The 21,231-nt window shown below is 46.9% G+C and overlaps 1 protein-coding gene and 1 long non-coding RNA gene across 16 annotated transcripts in view, besides 5 other annotated features; one reads left to right on the forward strand and one right to left on the reverse strand.

The window, feature by feature from the left end:
- Positions 11,421 to 12,300: an enhancer, noted in NCBI's record as "H3K27ac-H3K4me1 hESC enhancer chr12:112272338-112273217 (GRCh37/hg19 assembly coordinates)". NCBI's record gives its function as "activates a minimal SCP1, AML or CMV promoter by ChIP-STARR-seq in naive H9 embryonic stem cells {active_cell/tissue: H9 hESC(naive)}" and the evidence as "EXISTENCE:reporter gene assay evidence [ECO:0000049][PMID:30033119]".
- On the reverse strand, positions 16,654 to 19,892 carry MAPKAPK5-AS1 (MAPKAPK5 antisense RNA 1). 5 transcript variants are annotated; one of them, NR_152607.1, is made up of 3 exons: positions 18,571 to 18,817; positions 17,220 to 17,364; positions 16,654 to 16,890 (listed from the first exon to the last, which is right to left on the reverse strand). It is a non-coding gene; the product is annotated as an MAPKAPK5 antisense RNA 1 (long non-coding RNA). The 5 variants fall into 5 exon arrangements; NR_152606.1 differs by having other exon boundaries at positions 18,214 to 18,817; NR_015404.2 differs by having other exon boundaries at positions 16,654 to 17,364; positions 18,214 to 19,892.
- Positions 18,691 to 18,970: an enhancer, noted in NCBI's record as "active region_7040". NCBI's record gives its function as "activates an Ori minimal core promoter by ATAC-STARR-seq in GM12878 lymphoblastoid cells {active_cell/tissue: GM12878}" and the evidence as "EXISTENCE:reporter gene assay evidence [ECO:0000049][PMID:35858748]".
- Positions 19,001 to 19,180: a silencer, noted in NCBI's record as "silent region_4876". NCBI's record gives its function as "represses an Ori minimal core promoter by ATAC-STARR-seq in GM12878 lymphoblastoid cells {active_cell/tissue: GM12878}" and the evidence as "EXISTENCE:reporter gene assay evidence [ECO:0000049][PMID:35858748]".
- Positions 19,115 to 21,231, forward strand: part of MAPKAPK5 (MAPK activated protein kinase 5) — a 59,995-nt gene continuing 57,878 nt past the window's right edge. For all 11 annotated transcript variants that reach the window (NM_139078.3, NM_001371479.1, NM_003668.4 and 8 more), the window contains exon 1: positions 19,115 to 19,656. In NM_139078.3, the coding sequence (NP_620777.1) occupies positions 19,621 to 19,656 (36 nt within the window). In that variant the 5' untranslated portion in view covers positions 19,115 to 19,620. The remainder of the gene's footprint in view (positions 19,657 to 21,231) is intronic.
- Positions 19,261 to 19,610: a silencer, noted in NCBI's record as "silent region_4877". NCBI's record gives its function as "represses an Ori minimal core promoter by ATAC-STARR-seq in GM12878 lymphoblastoid cells {active_cell/tissue: GM12878}" and the evidence as "EXISTENCE:reporter gene assay evidence [ECO:0000049][PMID:35858748]".
- Positions 19,701 to 19,800: an enhancer, noted in NCBI's record as "active region_7041". NCBI's record gives its function as "activates an Ori minimal core promoter by ATAC-STARR-seq in GM12878 lymphoblastoid cells {active_cell/tissue: GM12878}" and the evidence as "EXISTENCE:reporter gene assay evidence [ECO:0000049][PMID:35858748]".

Raw genomic sequence — 21,231 nt, forward strand, 5'->3', positions numbered from 1 at the left:
GTGACATTAAAACTACTTGAATTTCTCCTTCATAATCAGAGTCAGCTACTCCTGGGACTACAGTAATGCCTTGCAAGTTAAGGCAGCTTTTGCCTAAAATTAGTCTATGTATCCTGCTGGTAAAGGTCCCCAAATGCCAATGGGAACTTTGATAGGTTTGTCTCCACCAATTAATGTAATTCTTTCTCTGACTGGAAGATCTAATCCTGCACTTCCTGGTGTTCCTGGGGTGAGGGAATCAATGTTCCTCCTGGGACCCACCCCTGAAGTGGGGTTGTGGTCTGAACTGGGAATGCCCTCATTGTTTGAGGGGCCCGGGTCCAGGCCCCCTTCTCGTTTCCTGACAGGTGGTTGCAGTTTTGATGAAATTTTGAGCGGCATTGAATAGCCCAGTGATTTCCTTTGTTACAGTGAGGACAGAGTCCTGGCGTTTTTTTCCGCTGGGCCAGGGGGGTGGAGGGCACCACATTATAAGGTCCTTTCTGCCCTGAGATCAGGCAGCATTCCTTTTTAAAATGTCCAGTTTTTCCACAATTATAACATTTTCCCACTTTAGGGTTTGACCGTTGGCTCCTTTTAGATTTGTCAACTACTAAATTAGCCATTGCTTGAGCTAAAATTGCAGAGCAATGAAGCTCAGTTTCTACATCCTGACAAGTTCTGAGAAAATTTCCCAAGTTTTGTACACCTCACAGGTGCCAGTGCACGTTTACAATCTGCGTTTGCATTCTCAAAAGCTAAAGTTAAGGTTAGCATTTCTGTGGCAGCGGTATGAGGAATTTGATGCTTCACTGCCTCTTGTAATCTTGCAAGAAATTGCACATAGGGTTCCTGTGACCCTTGCATGAGATGTAAAAAGGATTGTACTGGGACTCTCTCTTCTGGAATTGTGGCCCAGGCGTGTTTAGCAGCCTGTGCACACTGCTGATAAGCAGGATCTGGGAGTGCCATTTGACATTCCAGGTCTGAATAAAGGGCCATTACCTAACAGCATACCCTCTGTAATGTCTCCGTGTCCAGAAGCATGATTCTGTCTAGCCTGGTCTGCACACATTTCTTGCCAATTTAAATTCCAAGTCAGGTATGCAGTAGCAGACAAACAAGTGCAAGCCAAATGTTTTACATCAAAGGGTAGAAGGCGCATAGCACCAAATACAGATTCTAGCAATCCTAAGGTGAATGGGCTCTGTATCCCATTATTAATTACACTTAATTTTTCATTCCTTCAACAACGTAAACTCTAGTGGGGTGTGTTCATGAATAAACTGCTGTGGATTGTTTGGATCAGGCCTTATGGAAATAGGAAAAGTGCAGGCAGCAGAGCATAAAATTCTTTGTATTGAGGTCTCTATTTCGGCTACTGAAGGAGGCGGTACAGATGTTTCTGCAACTGGAGGGGGCGGTATAGGCCAATTTTTATCCTCCCTCTCCTGTTTTTTATTTTCAATTGGTGCTGTGGGTGGGACAACAGATTCTTTCAGATTTTTAGACTCAGAACATGACTCCTGCTGTCCAGCAGAATAAAAAGGATATAATGGCAGAAGGACAGTATGAACTAAACTCCTAGTGGAGAAAGCAGAAGAATCAACTTTAAGACCTTTTTGATGAGCCTGTTTTAATCCTTCTCCTGCTCTGTGCCAATTTTCTACATCAGGAGTGCCTGCCTGTGGAAACCATGGGTTATGCGTAATAACCTCCTGCAGCATCTTAGTTAATGTCTGAGAATTAACCTGAGCACCAGATTGTTTCAACAAAACTTTAAGCAACTGCACGTTTTTTTTTTCAACAGACAAATTCTGCCCCATGTTACCTGATTCAGAAAAATTCCCATTCCCAGTACTTCTTTTTTTTTTTTTTTTTTTTTGAGATGGTGTCTCGCTCTGTCACCCAGGCTGGAGTGCAGTGGTGCGATCTCGGCTCACTGCAAGCTCCACCTCCCAGGTTCACACCATTCTCCTGCCTCAGCCTCCCGAGTAGCTGGGACTACAGGCGCCCGCCACCACGCCCAGCTATTTTTTTGTATTTTTTAGTAAAGACGGGGTTTCACCGTGTTAGCCAGGATGGTCTCGATCTCCTGACCTCGTGATCTGCCCACCTCGGCCTCCCAAAGTGCTGGGACCCAGTACTTCTTTAAGAGAGCACTGACCTTATATTGCTCCCAGTACCTCGTTAGGGCACTGACCTTATATCTGCTGCCAGTGGACTCATCCCAGTGTCCCCATTCGTCTTGTCAATTTCAGCTTCTCTGCTTCAGCAGACCTTCTTCGTTCATGTCCTCAGAGTCCCTGTTCTGGGGTGCCACTTTGATGCGTGAATGGACCTTGGTGGACTGAACAAAGGGGGACGAATGCGAGAATAAAGATAAAGACAAAAAAGCATATTTGGAAGACATGGTCGGGGGCTCCTTGCTTCTAGTGAACAAGGGCCCTGAGCTTTAGAGCCCTTTGTATTTATTGGGTAAAGGAGATAGGGAGAAGGGTGGGGGGTGGTTGGTGGTCAGCAGCTTGATTTACAGCAGGCTTGCAAGACTGCATTATTTGAACAGTAGGCTCTGGATGTCCCAGTAGATAACCTCAAGGCATACAGTGCCGGGGAGTGATTGCCCTCAGCAAACCTTCTGGTGGCTGGAGCAGAAGCAAGTTTGCTCACATTCTGCATTCATGATAAACAGTTTGCTGTTTGATCATATAGCCTCAGTGGAATGCTGAGTTGGTCACGACCCACGGGCATTCAGCTCTCTATGAAAAGGAGCCTGGCATCTCTCTTGCTCCCTCCTGCCATCGGATATGCCAGCTCCCCCTTTGCCTTCTGACAGGCTTTCTAAGCTTCCTGAGGCTTCACCGGAAACAGAACAGATGCTAGTGCTGTGCTTGTACAGCCTGCAGAACCATGAGCCAAATCAATCTCGTTTCTTTATAAATTACTCTGCTTCACAGCTGGGCATGGTGGCTCACATCTGTAATCCCAGCACTTTGGGAGGCCGAGGTAGGTGGATTACTGAGGTCAAGAGTTCGAGACCAGCCTGACCAACATGGTGTAACCCCATCTCTAATAAAAATACAAAAATTAGCCAGGCATGGTAGGGCATGCCTGTAATCCCAGCTACCCAGGAGGCTGAGGCATGAGAATTGCTTGAACCCAGGAAGCAGAGGTTGCAGTGGGCCAAGATCGTGCCACTGCATTCCAGCCTAGGCAACAGAGCCAGACCCTGTCTCAAAAAAATAAAAATAAAAAATTACCCAGCTTCAGGTATTCTTTTATAGCAATGCAAAACAGACTAACACACTGTCTTTTTTTCTCAGCTGTAAAGTGAGAATAATCATTGTGAAATGAGATATTAAAATTCTTTGGAATCATGCCTCCTCAGCAGCTTTACAAGGCTACCATGTGGAGTTGTTCAGTGGGTATAGAGTTTCAGTTTTGCAACATGAAAAAGTTCTTGAGACTGGCTGCACAACAGTGTGGATATACTTAACGTTACTGAATTGTACTCTTAGAAATCGTTAGGATGAAGCTGGGCACGGTGGCTTATGCCTGTAATCCCAGTACTTTGGGAGGCAGAGGAGGGTGGATCATCTGAGGTCAGGAGTTTGAGACCAGCCTGGTCAACATGGTGAAATCCCGTCTCTACTAAAAATACAAAAAATTACTTGGGCATGGTGGTGGGTGCCTGTAATCCCAGCTACTCAGGAGGCTGAGGCAGGAGAATCGCTTGAACCCAGGAGGCGGAGGTTGCAGTGAGCCGAGATTGCACCATTGCACGCCAGCCTAGGTGACAGAGCAAGACTCCATCTCAAAGAAAAAAGAAATGGTTAGGCTGGTACATTTTATGCTATGCATTGTTTCTCAGAATAACAAAATTTTTAAGGAAATGACCACCACGTGAGATACCTAAAAAGCTGTCCCAGGAGAGGGATGATATTTATTCTGTGAGCTCTGAGAGGGGAGACAGGAGCCAGTTAGCAACCACTGAGTACTCCAGCCGGCCCACAAAGCCCCAGCATGGATGCTGCACCTGAGTGAGGCTGGCCTTGGAGACCTCTGGGCCCCTTCCAGCTCAGAGGTCTGAAGGATTTGAGCTGAGTCAGGTCAGCAGATGCTAGAACTTTCCATTCACAGACTGTCCAGTTTTGCTATATTTGAGGAACAGAAACAGGTCAGAAAGCAGGGCATGCTCTCATACTACTAGGAAAACATAATGTGATGCAACCTTTATTATTATCATTTATAGTATTATTTTTAAATTTTGTTATTTATTTATTATTTTATTTATTTTTTTTTGAGATGGATTTTCCCTCTTGTTGCCCCAGCTGGAGTGCACTTGCACAATCTCGGCTCACTGCAACCTCTGCCTCCCAGTTTCAAATGATTCTCCTGCCTCAGCCTCCTGAGTAGCTGGGACTACAGGCGTGTACCACCATGCCCAGCTAATTTTTGTATTTTTAGTAGAGACCGGGTTTCTGCATGTTGGCCAGGCTGGTCTCAAACTCCTGACCTCAGGTGATCCGCCCGCCTCAGCCTCCCAAAGTGCTGGGATTACAAGTGTGAGCCACCGTGCCCAATCTTTTTATTTATTTTATTGAGATAAGGTCTTGCTGTGTTACTCAGGCTGGTCTTGAACTCCTGGCCTTCCAGAGTGCCAAGATTACAGGTGTGAGCCAAGGTGCCCAGAAGGCACAACCTTTCTGGCAGGCATTCACAACTAAGAACTTAATCCAAGAGCACAATTGGCCAAGCGTGTGACGTTAGAGAAGAGCACTGTTGTTGTGAACTTCAACCAATGAAGATGGCCTGAGAAAAACCTGTGACAGCTTGGCAGAATTCAGAAGGATGAGACATCACTCCAACTGAGCCACGAAAATATGGTCTGGAGGCAGGGAACATAAGCCCAATTCACACTTCAGCTATGACAGAAAATATCCTCTCCATTTACATAGGGCGTACACCGAGTAAATGACTTTGTAACTTTACTTCATTCTCTTCTTTTACATAGGGTGTACACTGAGTAAATGACCTTGTAACTTTACTTCATCCTCTTTATTTACATATGGCGTACACCAAGTAAATGACTTTGTAGCTCTACTTCATCCTCTTCATTTATGTAGGACATATACCAAGGAACTGATGGAAACTTCTAGAGGGTATTTAAACCCCAAAACATTCTGTAATGGGGCCCTTGAGCCCCTATGCTCAGCCTGCTACCACACTGTGGAGTATACTTTCATTTTCAATAATTTTCTTCATTTCTTTCCTTGCTTTGTGCGTTTTGTCCAATTTTTTGTTCAAGACACCAAGAACCTGGACACCCTCCACCGGTGACACAACCATCAGGCAATAGGGGTACACCTGGGAAGGACAAGGGACAGTTAGTGCAGTGAGGAATGGGAGGCAGGGCCGAGTCTCTCTGAGCTGGGAGGCTGCTCCTTCTGGCCTCTCCAAAGCCTCACTGCTTCCATTTCCCGAGGCAGATAAGGACTGCCTCAGCCTGGGACAAAACGACCTCTCTGTGTCCACAGCCACCCACAATTGGCATAATGTTCCAGTCTCACTTCCCAGGAGCCTCTGAAGGGCCCAGCTTGGGTCAGATGGCCATTCCTGGGCCAGTCAGCTATGGCCAGGGGATGGGGTCACATGGCACCCACATGAAGCAAGGCCTATCCCTTAAGTAGGGGCTGTTGAGTGACAGGAACCGTGGAGGTGTTGACAGCCGCTCCTCAAAGTATGGTCCTAGACTGAGCAGCAGCACTTACATCACTCGGCAGCTTCTTAGCAATACAGAATCTCAGGCCCCACCCCACACCTAAGGAATCAGAATCTGCTTATTTATTTATTTATTTTGATGATAGGTGCATGCCACCACACTTGGCTAATTTTTGTATTTTTAGTGGAGTCAGGGTTTCTCCATGTTGGCCAAGCTGATCTCAAACTCCTGACCTCAAGTGATCCACCCGCCTCAGCCTGCCAAAGTGCTGGAATTACAGGCGTGAGCCACCGCACCCAGCCTGTAGCCCACATATTGATCCTGTCTGTTCTTTTTTTCTTTTTATTATTATTATTATTATTATACTTTAAGTTTTAGGGTACATGTGCACAATGTGCAGGTTAGTTACATATGTATACATGTGCCATGCTGGTGTGCTGCACCCATTAACTCATCATTTAGCATCAGGTATATCTCCTAATGCTATCCCTCCCCCCTCCCCCACCCCACAACAGTCCCCAGAGTGTGATGTTCCCCTTCCTGTGTCCATGTGTTCTCATTGTTCAATTCCCATCTATGAGTGAGAACATGCGGTGTTTGGTTTTTTGTCCTTGCGATAGTTTACTGAGAATGATGATTTCCAATTTCATCCATGTCCCTACAAAGGACATGAACTCATCATTTTTTATGGCTGCATAGTATTCCATGGTGTATATGTGCCACATTTTCTTAATCCAGTCTATCATTGTTGGACATTTGGGTTGGTTCCAAGTCTTTGCTATTGTGAATAGTGCCACAATAAACATACTTGTGCATGTGTCTTTATAGCAGCATGATTTATAGTCCTTTGCGTATATACCCAGTAATGGGATGGCTGGGTCAAATGGTATTTCTAGTTCTAGATCCCTGAGGAATCGCCACACTGACTTCCACAATGCTTGAACTAGTTTACAGTCCCATCAACAGTGTAAACATGTTCCTGTTTCTCCACATCCTCTCCAGCACCTGTTGTTTCCTGACTTTTTAATGATTGACATTTTAACTGGTGTGAGATGGTATCTCGTTGTGGTTTTGATTTGCATTTCTCTGATGGCCAGTGATGATGAGCATTTTTTCATGTGTCTGTTGGCTGCATAAATGTCTTCTTTTGAGAAGTGTCTGTTCATATCCTTTGCCCACTTTTTGATGGGATTGTTTGTTTTTTTCTTGTAAATTTGTTTGAGTTCATTGTAGATTCTGGATATTAGTCTTTTGTCAGATGAGTAGGTTGCGAAAATTTTCTCCCATTTTGTAGGTTGCCTGTTCACTCTGATGGTAGTTTCTTTTGCTGTGCAGAAGCTCTTTAGTTTAATTAGATCCCATTTGTCAATTTTGGCTTTTGTTGCCATTGCTTTTGGTGTTTTAGACATGAAGTCCTTGCCCATGCCTATGTCCTGAATGGTAATGCCTAGGTTTTCTTCTAGGGTTTTTATGGTTTTAGGTCTAATGTTTAAGTCTTTAACCCATCATGAATTAATTTTTGTATAAGGTGTAAGGAAGGGATCCAGTTTCAGCTTTCTACATATGGCTAGCCAGTTTTCCCAGCACCATTTATTAAATAGGAAATCCTTTCCCCATTGCTTGTTTTTCTCAGGTTTGTCAAAGATCAGATAGTTGTAGATCTGTGGCATTATTTCTGAGAGCTTTGTCCTGTTCCATTGATCTATATCTCTGTTTTGGTACCAGTACCATGCTGTTTTGGTTACTGTAGCCTTGTAGTATAGTTTGAAGTCAGGTAGCGTGATGCCTCCAGCTTTGTTCTTTTGGCTTAGGATTGACTTGGCAATGCGGGCTCTTTTTTGGTTCCATATGAATTTTAAAGTAGTTTTTTCCAATTCTGTGAAGAAAGTCATTGGTAGCTTGATGGGGATGGCATTGAATCTATAAATTACCTTGGGCAGTATGGCCATTTTCACAATATTGATTCTTCCTATCCATGAGCATGGAATGTTCTTCCATTTGTTTGTATCCTCTTTTATTTCATTGAGCAGTGGTTTGTAGTTCTCTTTGAAGAGGTCCTTCACATCCCTTGTAAGTTGGATTCCTAAGTATTTTATTCTCTTTGAAGCAATTGTGAATGGGAGTTCACTCATGATTTGGCTCTCTGTTTGTCTGTTACTGGTGTATAACAATGCTTGTGATTTTTGTACATTGATTTTGTATCTTGAGACTTTGCTGAACTTGCTTATCAGCTTAAGGAGATTTTGGGCTGAGACAATGGGGTTTTCTAGATATACAATCATGTCGTCTGCAAACAGGGACAATTTGACTTCCTCTTTTCCTAATTGAATACCCTTTATTTCCTTCTCCTGCCTAATTGCCTTGGCCAGAACTTCCAACACTATGTTGAATAGGAGTGGTGAGAGAGGGCATCCCTGTCTTTTGCCAGTTTTCAAGGGGAATGCTTCCAGTTTTTGCCCATTCAGTATGATATTGGCTGTGGGTTTGTCATAGATAGCTCTTATTATTTTGAGATATGTCCCATCAATACCTAATTTATTGAGAGTTTTTAGCATGAAGGGTTGTTGAATTTTGTCAAAGGCCTTTTCTGCATCTATTGAGATAATCATGTGGTTTTTGTCTTTAGTTCTGTTTATCTGCTGGATTACATTTATTGATTTGCATATATTGAACCAGCCTTGCATCCCAGGGATGAAGCCCACTTGATCATGGTGGATAAGCTTTTTGATGTGCTGCTGGATTTGGTTTGCCAGTATTTTATTGAGGATTTTTGCATCAATGTTCATCAAGGATATTGGTCTAAAATTCTCTTTTTTGGTTGTGTCTCTGCCCGGCTTTGGTATCAGGATGATGCTGGCCTCACAAAATGAGTTAGGGAGGATTCCCTCTTTTTCTATTGATTGGAATAGTTTCAGAAGGAATGGTATTAGTTCCTCCTTGTACCTCTGGTAGAATTCGGCTGTGAATCCATCTGGTCCTGGACTCTTTTTGGTTGGTAAGCTATTGATTATTGCCACAATTTCAGCTCCTGTTATTGGTCTATTCAGAGATTCAACTTCTTCCTGGTTTAGTCTTGGGAGAGTGTATGTGTCGAGGAATGTATCCATTTCTTCTAGATTTTCTAGTTTATTTGCGTAGAGGTGTTTGTAGTATTCTCTGATGGTAGTTTGTATTTCTGTGGGATCGGTGGTGATATCCCCTTTATCATTTTTTATTGCGTCTATTTGATTCTTCTCTCTTTTTTTCTTTATTAGTCTTGCTAGCGGTCTATCAATTTTGTTGATCCTTTCAAAAAACCAGCTCCTGGATTCATTAATTTTTTGAAGGGTTTTTGTGTCTCTATTTCCTTCAGTTCTGCTCTGATTTTAGTTATTTCTTGCCTTCTGCTAGCTTTTGAATGTGTTTGCTCTTGCTTTTCTAGTTCTTTTAATTGTGATGTTAGGGTGTCAATTTTGGATCTTTCTTGCTTTCTCTCGTGGGCATTTAGTGCTATAAATTTCCCTCTACACACTGCTTTGAATGTGTCCCAGAGATTCTGGTATGTTGTGTCTTTGTTCTTGTTGGTTTCAAAGAACATTTTTATTTCTGCCTTCATTTCGTTATGTACTCAGTAGTCATTCAGGAGCAGGTTGTTCAGTTTCCATGTAGTTGAGCGGTTTTGAGTGAGTTTCTTAATCCTGAATTCTAGTTTGATTGCACTGTGGTCTGAGAGACAGTTTGTTATAATTTCTGTTCTTTTACATTTGCTGAGGGGAGCTTTACTTCCAACTATATGGTCAATTTTGGAATAGGTGTGGCGTGGTGCTGAAAAAAATGTATATTCTGTTGATTTGGGGTGGAGAGTTCTGTAGATGTCTATTAGGTCCGCTTGGTGCAGAGCTGAGTTCAATTCCTGGGTATCCTTGTTAACTTTCTGTCTTGTTGATCTGTCTAATGTTGACAGTGGGTGTTAAAGTCTCCCATTATTATTGCTTGGGAGTCTAAGTCTCTTTGTAGGTCACTCAGGACTTGCTTTATGAATCTGGGTGCTCCTGTATTGGGTGCATATATATTTAGGATAGTTAGCTCTTCTTGTTGAATTGATCCCTTTACCATTATGTAATGGCCTTCTTTGTCTCTTTTGATCTTTGTTGGTTTAAAGTCTGTTTTATCAGAGACTAGGATTGCAACCCCTGCCTTTTTTTGTTTTCCATTTGTTTGGTAGATCTTTCTCCATCCTTTTATTTTGACCCTATATGTGTCTCTGCACATGAGATGGGTTTCCTGAATACAGCACACTGATGGGTCTTGACTCTTTATCAAACTTGCCAGTCTGTGTCTTTTAATTGGAGCATTTAGTCCATTTACATTTAAAGTTAATATTGTTATGTGTGAATTTGATCCTGTCATTATGATGTTAGCTGGTTATTTTGCTCGTTAGTTGATGCAGTTTCTTCCTAGTCTCGATGGTCTTTACATTTTGGCATGATTTTGCAGTGGCTGGTACAAGTTTTTCCTTTCCATGTTTAGTGCTTCCTTCGGGAGCTCTTTTAGGGCAGGCCTGGTGGTGATGAAATCTCTCAGCATTTGCTTGTCTGTAAAGGATTTTATTTCTCCTTCGCTTATGAAGCTTAGTTTGGCTGGATATGAAATTCTGGGTTGAAAATTCTTTTCTTTAAGAATGTTGAATATTGGCCCCCACTCTCTTCTGGCTTGTAGAGTTTCTGCCAAGAGATCCGCTGTTAGTCTGATGGGCTTCCCTTTGTGGGTAACCCGACCTTTCTCTCTGGCTGCCCTTAACATTTTTTCCTTCATTTCAACTTTGGTGAATCTGACAATTATGTGTCTTGGAGTTGCTCTTCTCGAGGAGTATCTTTGTGGTGTTCTCTGTATTTCCTGAATCTGAATGTTGGCCTGCCTTGCTAGATTGGGGAAGTTCTCCTGGATAATATCCTGCAGAGTGTTTTCCAACTTGGTTCCATTCTCCCTGTCAATTTCAGGTACACCAATCAGACGCAGATTTGGTCTTTTCACATAGTCCCATATTTCTTGGAGGCTTTGTTCATTTCTTTTTATTCTTTTTTCTCTAAACTTCCCTTCTCGCTTCGTTTCATTCATTTCATCTTCCATCACTGATACCCTTTCTTCCAGTTGATCACATCGGCTCCTGAGGCTTCTGCATTCTTCACGTAGTTCTCAAGCCTTGGCTTTCAGCTCCATCAGCTCCTTTAAGCACTTCTCTTTATTGGTTATTCTAGTTATACATTCGTCCAAAATTTTTTCAAAGTTTTCAACTTCTTTGCCTTTGGTTTGAATTTCCTCCTGTAGCTCGGAGTAGTTTGATCATCTGAAGCCTTCTTCTCTCAACTCGTCAAAGTCATTCTCCATCCAGCTTTGTTCTGTTGCTGGTGAGGAACTGCGTTCCTTTGGAGGAGGAGAGGTGCTCTGCTTTTTAGAGTTTCCAGTTTTTCTGCTCTGTTTTTTCCCCATCTTTGTGGTTTTATCTACTTTTGGTCTTTGATGATGGTGATGTACAGATGGGTTTTTGGTATGGATGTCCTTTCTGTTTGTTAGTTTTCCTTCTAACAGACAGGACCCTCAGCTGCAGGTCTGTTGGAGTTTGCTAGAGGTCCACTCCAGACCCTGTTTGCCTGGGTATCAGCAGCGGTGTCTGCAGAACCGTGGATTTTCGTGATCCGTGAATGCTGTTGTCTGATCGTTCCTCTGGAAGTTTTGTCTCAGAGGAGTACCCGGCCGTGTGAGGTGTCAGTCTGCCCCTACTGGGGGGTGCCTCCCAGTTAGGCTGCTTGGGGGTCAGGGGTCAGGGACCCACTTGAGGAGGCAGTCTGCCCCTTCTCAGATCTCCAGCTGCGTGCTGGGAGAACCACTGCTCTCCTCAAAGCTGTCAGACAGGGACATTTAAGTCTGCAGAGGTTACTGCTGTCTTTTTGTCTGTGCCCTGCCCCCAGAGGTGGAGCCTACCGAGGCAGGCAGGCCTCCTTGAGCTGTGGTGGGCTCCACCCAGTTCGAGCTTCCTGGCTGCTTTGTTTACCTAAGTAAGCCTGGGCAATGGCGGGCACCCCTCCCCCAGCCTCCCTGCTGCCTTGCAGTTTGATCTCGGACTGCTGTGCTAGCAATCAGCGAGACTCCTTGGGCATAGGACCCTCCGAGCCAGGTGCGGGGTACAATCTCCTGGTGCGCCGTTTCCTAAGCCCGTCGGAAAAGCGCAATATTCGGGTGGGAGTGGCCCGATTTTCCAGGCGCTGTCTGTCACCCCTTTCCTTGACCAGGAAAGGGAACTCCCTGACCCCTTGTGCTTCCTGAGTGAGGCAATGCCTCACCCTGCTTCGGCTGGCGCATGGTGCACTACACCCACTGTCCTGCGCCCACTGTCTGGCACTCCCTAGTGAGATGAACCCAGTATCTCAGATGGAAATGCAGAAATCACTCGTCTTCTGCGGTGCTCATGCTGGGAGCTGTAGACCGGAGCTGTTCCTATTCGGCCATCTTGGCTCCTCCTCCCCATCTGTTCTTTTTTTCTTGAGACAGAGTCTTGCCCTGTCACCCAGGCTGGAGTGCAATGGTGTGATCTCAGCTCACTGCAACCTCTGCCTCCCGGGTTCAAGCAATTCTCCTGCCTCAGCCTCCCGAGTAGCTGGGATTACAGGCACGCACTACTGAGAGGTGACAGTGTGCTGGCAGCCCTTGCAGCCCTCGCTCACTCTTGGCGCCTCCTCTGCCTGGGCTCTCACTTTGGTGGCACTTGAGGAGCCCTTCAGCCCACCACTGCACTGTGGGAGCCCCTTTCTGGGCTGGCCAAAGCCGGAGCTGGCTCCCTCAGCTTTCAGGGAGGTGTGGAGGGAGAGGCGCGAGCAGGAACCCGGGCTGCGCGCGGGGTTTGCGGGCCAGCTGGAGTTCCAGGTGGGCGTGGGCTTGGCAGTCCCCACACTTGGAGTGGCCGGCCAGCCCTGCCGGCCCCGGCAATGAGGGGCTTAGCACACGGGCCAGTGGCTGCAGAGGGTGTGTTGGGTCCCCCAGCAGTGCCGGCCCACCAGTGCTGTACTCGATTTCTCGCCGGGCCTTAGCTGCCTCCCGTCGGGGCAGGGCTCTGGACCTGCAGCCCCCCATGCCTGAACCTCCCCCCACTCCCTGGGCTCCTGTGTGGCCCGAGCCTCCCCGACGAGCACCACCCCCTGCTCCACGGCACCCAGTCCCATCAACCACCCAAGGGCTGAGGTGTGCGGGCGCACGGCACTGGACTGGCAAGCAGCTCCACCTGCGGCCCGGGTGCAGGATCCACTGGGTGAAGCCAGCTGGGCTCCTGACTGGTGGGGACTTGGAGAACCTTTATGTCTAGCTAGGGGATTGTAAATACACCAATTGGCACTCTGTATCTAGCTCAAGGTTTGTAAACACACCAATCAGCACCCTGTGTCTAGCTCAGGGTTTGTGAATGCACCAATCGACACTCTGTATCTAGCTGCTCTGGTGGGGACTTGGAGAACCTTTGTGTGGACACTTTGTATCTAGCTAATCTAGTGGAGAGGTGGAGAACCTTTGTGTCTAGCTCAGGGATTGTAAACGCACCAATCAACACCCTGTCAAAACAGACCACCACTCAGCTCTCTGTAAAATGGATCAATCAGCAGGATGTGGGTGGAGCCAGATAAGAGAATAAAAGCAGGCTGCCGGAGCCAGCAGTGGCAACCTGCTTGGGTCCCCTTCCACACTGTGGAAGCTTTGTTCTTTTGCTCTTTGCAATAAATCTTGTTGCTGCTCACTCTTTGGGTCCACACTGCCTTTATGAGCTGTAACACTCACCGCGAAGGTCTGCAGCTTCACTCCTGAAGCCAGAGAGACCACAAACCCACCAGAAGGAAGAAACTCGGAACACATCCGAACATCAGAAGGAACAAACTCCGGACACGCCACCTTTAAGAACTGTAACACTCACCGCGAGGGTCCACAGCTTCATTCTTGAAGTCAGTGAGACCAAGAACCCACCAATTCCGGACACACTACCATGCCTGAGTAATCGTATTTTTAGTAGAGACGGGGTTTCACCATATTGGCCAGGCCAGTCCTGACCTCGTGATCCACCCATCTTGGCCTCCCAAAGTGCTGGGATTACAGGCGTGAGCCACGGTGCCCAACCTTATTTATTTTTAATTTTTTAATTTTAAAAAATTTTTTGGAGACAGTCTTGCTCTGTCGCCCAGACTGGAGTGCAGTGGTGTGATCTTGGCTCACTGCAACCTCTGCTTCCCGGGTTCAAGCGATTCTCCTGCCTCAGCCTCCTGAGTAGCTGGGATTACAGGCAGGCGCCATCACGCCCGGCTAATTTTTGTACTTTTAGTAGAGATGGGGTTTCACCATATTGGTCAGACTAGTCTTAAACTCCTGGCCTCAAGTGATCCACCCACCTCGGCCTCCCAAAGTGCTGGGATTACAGGCGTGAACCACTGTGCCCGGCCAAATTTAGTACTTTAAAAAACATTTAAAAGTCTGTTTCTGTGGGTCGGGAGTTTGGGTATGGCTTGGCTGGGTGCGCCTGGCATAGTCTCTCACGGGGCCACGATCAAGTTGTGGGCTGGGGATGCCATCAGCTAAAGGCTCAATTTGGTGAGTATCCTTTCTAAGCTCATGTATGTGTGGGTAGTCCTTAGGTACTCACTGGCAGCTGGTAAGAGATGTTAGTTCCTCGCCATGTCTGTAATGGACTGAATAGTATATTGCCCCAAAATTCATGTTTGCACAGAAGCTCAGAATGTGACCTTATTTGGAAATAGGGTCTTTGCAGATGTAATTAAGATGAGATCGTGCTGGATGATGTTGGGCCCTAAATCCAACGACTGTTTTATTAAGAGGAGAGGACACAGAGAGACACACAGGGAAGGCCATGTGAAGACAGAGGAAGAGCCTGGAGTGATACAGCCAAAGAATGCCAAGGACTGTCTGGAGCCACCAGAAGGAAGGAGTCTTCCCTGTAGCCTTCAGAGGGAACATGGCTTTGTTGACACTTTTTTTTTTTTTTTTTTGAGACAGTCTCACACTGTCGCCCAGGCTGGAGTGCAGTGGCGTGATCTTGACTCACTGCAAGCTGTGCCTCTCGGGTTCACGCCATTCTCCTGCCTCAGCCTCCTGAGTCGCTGGGACTACAGGAGTCCGCCACCCGACCTGGCTATTTTTCTGTATTTTTAGTAGAGATGGGGGGTTTCACCGTGTTAGCTGAGACGGTCTAGATCTCCTGACCTCATGATCTGCCCAACTCGGCCTCCCAAAGTGCTGGGATTACAGGCATGAGCCACCGTGCCCCACCACTTTTTTTTTTGAGATAGAGTCTCGATCTGTTGCCCAGACTGGAGTTCACAGGTGCGGTCTCCGTTCACTGCAACCTCTCTGCCTCCCGGGTTCAGGTGATTCTCCTGGCTCAGCCTCCAGAGTAGCTGGGATTACAGGTGCCTGCCACCACCACTGGCTAATTTTTTTATTTTTATTTTTAGTAGAGACAGGGTTTCACCATGTTGGCCAGGCTGGTCTCGAACTCCTGACCTCAAGTGATCTGCCCGCTTTGGCCTCCCAAAGTGCTGGGAGTACAGGAGTGAGCCACAGTACTCGGCCTCTGCTGACACATTCATTACAGACTTCTAGCATCTGGAGCTGTGAGGATAAACTTCTGTTGTTTTAAGCCACCCAATTTGTGATACTTTGTTACAGCAGCCTTAGGAACCAAGTGAGCTGGCTTCCCTAAGAGCAGATAAGTAAAAGAGTCAGAGAGGGCCCCAATGGAAGCCAGAGTTTTTCTGCTACCTAATCTTGAACATGACATCTGTTCACTGAAAGCAAACCACTTGATCCAGACCACATGCAGGGCGAGAGGACTACATAAGATCATAAATACCAAGATGTGAGCATCACTGGAGGCTGTGAACCAGGGCTGCCACACCAGCAAAAAACAGAGGAATTTCATTGGAAGAAACCGCTTTCTTCAGGGTTCTGCCTTCTCCATTCATTGATTCCTTCGACAAATAAATTTATTAAGTACCTACAATGGACTGGGTATTAGGGACATATGACCAATAAGACAAATAAGATTCTTTCCCTTGTTGAGATTATTTAGTTACAGGATAATAGGAACATCTGATTTAGATTAGGAAAGGAGGGTATGGGCAAGGCATGCCTTTCTGAAAAAACATTATCAAGAATTGGCCAGGTGTGGTGGCTCACGCCTGTAATCCCAGCACTCTAGGAGGCTGACGTGGGCGGATCACCTAAGGTCAGGAGTTCGAGACCAGCCTGGCCAACATGGTGAAACCCTGTCTCTACTAAAAATACAAAAATTAGCCGGGCGTGGTGGCGGGTGCCTGTAATCCCAGCAACTCGGGAGGCTGAGGCAGAAGAATCACTTGAACTCAGGAGGCGGCGGTTGCAGTGAGCCGAGATCGCACCACTGCACTCCAGCCTGGGGGACACAGTGAGCCTCCGCCTCAAAGAAGAATAAAGTTGAAGAATGAGTAGAAACCAGGCTGTGTGTGTATGTGTGTGTGTTATGAGGGAAGCATGAGTTTCTAGGTAGTGGGAAAGCACGTGCAAATAAGTCGGTAAGTTGAACAGCTAGACTAAAAGCTGCTTGAGAGCAGGGACCTTGTCTCTTCATTGCTGCATCTCTATTATACGACATCATCTCTGCATCTCTATTACAAGACATAGAGCCTGGCAGAGAGAAATTCTTACTGGATGAAATGAATGAATAAATCCAAGGCATCTTCTATAGGTTAGTGCAAAAATGACTGCAGTTTTTGCCATTATTTTTAAATGGCAAAAACCACAATTACTTTTGCACGAATATTTCCTGTTACAGATGTCAACTGAAGTCATTTAAAAATTTTCTCCCAAAGTTCATCGCGGGATCATTGCTCTTATTCATATTAGGTAGCATAGGCAAAGCTGCTAGAACAAAAGACTCAAAGTAAGTAAACGGTCAACACAAGTTTATTTATTCTCACATAACAATACTGAGTGGATATTTAGGTCAGTAAGGCACAGTTCTCCTCCACTTAGGAATCTCCCATCTTCAGGCCTTGCCTTCTCCAGAGCCTGGTCACCATCTGCTTCCAGTTGGCAGAAGGAGTAACAGCACAGGGGAGCACCTGTTGGAGGTCTGTATGGGCCAGGCCTGGAAACTGCACACCTCTTCTGGTCACTTTCCGCTGGGGAGAGCATAGGCACAGAGCCACACTTAAATTTTACTTTGAGGAATGCAGTGTAGGTGTATGTCCGACAAAGAAAACAATAATTCGGTAGACAAATAAGTCTCCACTCCAATATTCAATTACTTACTTAACTTATGCTCTGGTATGTCTCAAATTAACCTAGATAGAAATGAACTCTGAATCTTCCACTTCCATCAAGTTTTTCACTCACTCAATGGCATCATTATCCATCCAGTTGCTTAAGCATACATTTGAAAGTTATCCTTGGTCTGTTTCTTATCCTTCCCTTCCACATCTAATCCTTCAGGAAGTCCTGACAATGTTACCTCCAAAATATGTCTTAAATCCATCTTCTCAGCCAGGCACGGTGGCTCACGCCTGTAATCCCAGTACTTTGGGAGGCCAAGGGAGGTGAATCACTTGAACTCAGGGGTTGGAGAGCAGCCGGGGCAATGTGGAGAGACCCAATCTCTACAAAAAAAATACGAAAAATTAGCCAGGCATGGTGGCATGCGCCTATAGTCCCAGCTACTCAGGATGCTGAGGTGGGAGGATCGCCTGAGCCCAGGAGGTCTAGGTTGCAGTGAGCTGTGATCACGCCACTGCACTCTAGACAGTGGGACCGTTTAAAAAAAAAAATCCATCTTCTCTACACCTTTACCGCCACCTCCTTAGTTCAGACAGTGTAATAATCTCTCATCTGCATTATTCTCCAATAGCCTCCTAATAGCTCTGTTTCCATTCTTGCTTTCCTATATTCTATTCTCTACAAAGCAGAGTGATCTTTTAAAACAAATTTGTTCACATCACTCTTTACTTTAAAACCTTACAATAGCTTAGAATAAAATCCAAAGTCCTGATTATGACCCCCAAAGGCCACATATGATGCAGCCCCTGCCCACATCTCCAACCTCATCCTTTTTATACTTTTTTTTTTCTTTTTTTGAAATAGAGACGGGGTTTCGCCATGTTGGCCAGGCCGGTCTCGAACTCCTGACTTCAAGTGATCCGCCCGCCTTGGCCTCCCGAAGTGCTGGGATTACAGGCGTGACCCACCGCGCCCAGCCTCCAACCTCACCCTTTATCAGTCTCCTCCTACTCGATCTACTCCAGCTACAATGACCTTCTTGCTGATTCTTGAACATATTTAGCTTATTTCCACCTTAAAATTTCTACCCATCTGCCCAGAAATCTTTCCTTGGATTTCCAATAGCCAGCCCTTTCTCATTCCTCAGGGGTCTCAGCTTAAATGTTACCTCCTGAGATTCCTTCCTTAATCATCTAATACGAAGAAGTCCCCACATCCAGTTATTCTCTTACCTCAGCATCCTGTTTATGTTCTTCTTAGCATCAGACTCGGGCTTTTTCCTGTTTATTACCTACTTCGTTTTCCTGAAAGATCCATGTGCCGGTACCATGTGTTGTTCCTACTGTTTCTCCAATGTCTAGTAGATTTGGCACATACTGATGTGCAATTAATACGTGAATGAAGAACCATTGACAGACGATTAGTCAAAAGCTCTTGCAAAGCCCTTTGATAGGTTATCGGTGGAGAGTAGGGAGCACAAACCTGGGGTCCCATTCTAGCTTGACCACTTCTCGGCTGTGCACAAACTAGTCTAGCTCTCCTGAGCCTCAGTTACCTATTTTGCAAATTAGGGATGGGAACATCCATACCTCACGACGCCAAACGGCTACCTTGTAAAGACGAAAGGAGGAAATGCAGGAAATAACTCCACGTAAGGTTAATGCTCCGTAAACAGAGCTGCTACTGCTATTATATATTCTATACAATCCTGCGCCCTTAACGGCAGGACCCTTTCAGTGCTTCAGTCCTGTCTTCTCTCTCCTGGGTTGACCTCCACAGATCCTCTCAGAAGAGCGTTTTCCAGGCGTGAATCTCCGCAGAGTGGAGATAAAGGCTGAGGCCCCAACGCACGCGCACTCACGCGAGTCCGGGCCTATGACGTCATTAGCGCAGCGCCATCGCCGCGGAAGGCCCAGGGGCCTGTCCTGTATGCGGCGTGTCTTAGGGAGGCCCAGGCGGACGCCTGCAAGTCGGGTGCGCGGTTCGGGGGCGGCTCGGAAACCCCAGCGGAAGGCAGCAAGGGGCGCGTGGGGCCGTGGAGTCACGAAGCTGGGCGGCAGGAGGGGCGGCCTGGAGCTCCCGCGGGGCACAGCGCGTGCGTGAGGGCGGCCGGCGGGGCTGCCCGGCGCGGGTGTCCCGGCGATGTGTGGCGCTGAGGCGGCGGCGGGAGCAGCGGCGCCGAGCTCTGCTTCGGCTTCGGCTTCGGCTTCGCGGCGGTGCAGGCGGCGGAGGCGGAGGCGCAGGCTCTTCTTTAGGACCTGGCGAGCCCAGGTCTAAGCGGCGGCCCCGCGAGGCCCTTGCACGGCGCCCCGGGTCGAGGCCCTCCCCGCCTCGCCCTACCCCAGGAGCCTGCCTCCCCAGCTGGGGATGAGGCTAGGAGGCGGCCGCGTGGGGCCCAGCACAAAGACCTGTCCCCAGGGGCCGCCGCCTCCGCCGCTGCTGCTGCCGCCAGCCTAGAGCCGCCCGCCGAAGCAGAGCCGGCGCCGGGGTCCTCATCCCCACCGGTCCCGAGGGGCGGCTGCTGCCCGTCGCCACGAGGCCCAGGGGCCCGAGTGCCGAGCCCTTTGCTCCCTCGGCCGCGCGGGGACAGGGCTGCTGAGCAGCCTCCGCCTCTCCCGGCTGTGGGGGCCCCACTGAGTATGTCGGAGGAGAGCGACATGGACAAAGCCATCAAGGTAAGGGGGAGGTGCCCCCTCTTCCCCCGCGTTGTCCTGTGGCGTTCTTCTCGGCTCTAGCCTCAAAAAGCAGGGAGATTTTGCAGTGAGAGGTTCCATCGACTACCGGGTTTCGGCCTCCCCCGGATTCCGTGGATCGCGCTTTACAGCCCTGGGGCCAAGGGTTATGGGTGTGGGTGTAGGTGTGTGTCCGACTCCCGCCAGCTTCCCTGGTGAGTGTGATTTGTGCTCAGCTGGAACAGAGGTGAGTGGCCTGGAGACACTATTAAGTGTCAATGAATGGGACGAAGAGAGCCCTACTACTACTACTACACGTTTCGATCACTCCCCAAGGCCGCCAGCATTTGCTTCCGGATGGTCTACAGAACTTGGAGAGTTGGAATTTATCCATCCCTCCCGATTTGTTTGAAATCAGCCTTCTGGAAATCTGCAGTTGGAAAAAGGTGGTTCGCCGTACAAAACCTGTCCTTTGGGGAATAGGTTGTCCTCACTTTTCCGTGTATTCTCCCCTTTTTCTTTTTCCTCTTCTTTCTCCTAGGAAGCATTGAGTTTACTTAGGAAAAGTTAACAGTTCCTGTGACTTAACTGCACTTAAACCAAAAGAAAAGCAAATGTGTGTTCGAAAATTACACAAATAAAATAAGTTTTCTAAAACCTGTTTTTAACTTTTTTTTTTTTTAAAGGCACATTTTGCCCACTCAGGGCCAGTTATCTGTCTTGACAGCTGTAGCTAAGAAATTAGTCTTATGAAAATTAAACATTGACGCTTAAAGTTTGATGTATTATTTACTTATTTGTAGTGTTAAGTCAGCCCAGTGCATTGAATAATTTCATTTTATCTTGAAGGACAGGCATCTATTGGCAGCTTGGGGTTATTTTCCCCTTCAAGACAGTTACTAGTAATGATTAAGAATTTACATTTCTACCAATTCTTTAGGTGGTGTATATAGTTTCTCAAAATCATCAAGTCATTCCAAAGAAACTTAACCCTTTAAAGGAGGCATCAACATATAACATATACATTAAGGAAGACCAGGTTTTTTGTCTGTTTGTTTGTTTTTGAGACGGAGTCTCACTCTGTCGCCCAGGCTGGAGTGCAGTGGCCCGATCTTGGCTCACTGCAAGTTCCGCCTCCTGGGTTCACGCCATTCTCCTGCCTCAGCCTCCCGAGTAGCTGGGATTACAGGCGCCCACCCACCACGCCCTGCTAATTTTTTCTTTTGTTTGTATTTTTAGTAGAGACGGGGTTTCACCGTAATAGCCAGGATGGGCTCGATCTCCTGACCTCGTGATCTGCCCGCCTTGGCCTCCCAAAATGGTGGGATTACAGGCGTGAGCCACCGTGCCTGGCCCAAGGAAGACGAGGTTTTAAATCATAAAGATTCTAAAAGACTGCCTTGACATATCCTTCTTTTGTTTTGGGTTTTGTTTTTTTTTTTGAGTCGGAGTCTGGCTTTGTCATCCAGGCTGGAGTGCAGTGGGATGCTCTTGGCTCACTGCAACCTCCACCTCCCAGGTTCAAGTGATTCTCCTGCCTCAGCCTCCCCAGTAGCTGGGACTACAGGCACGTGCCAC

The sequence above is a fragment of the Homo sapiens genome, chromosome 12 (genome assembly GCF_000001405.40).
Source record: "Homo sapiens chromosome 12, GRCh38.p14 Primary Assembly".
Taxonomy (NCBI): Eukaryota; Metazoa; Chordata; class Mammalia; order Primates; family Hominidae; genus Homo; species Homo sapiens.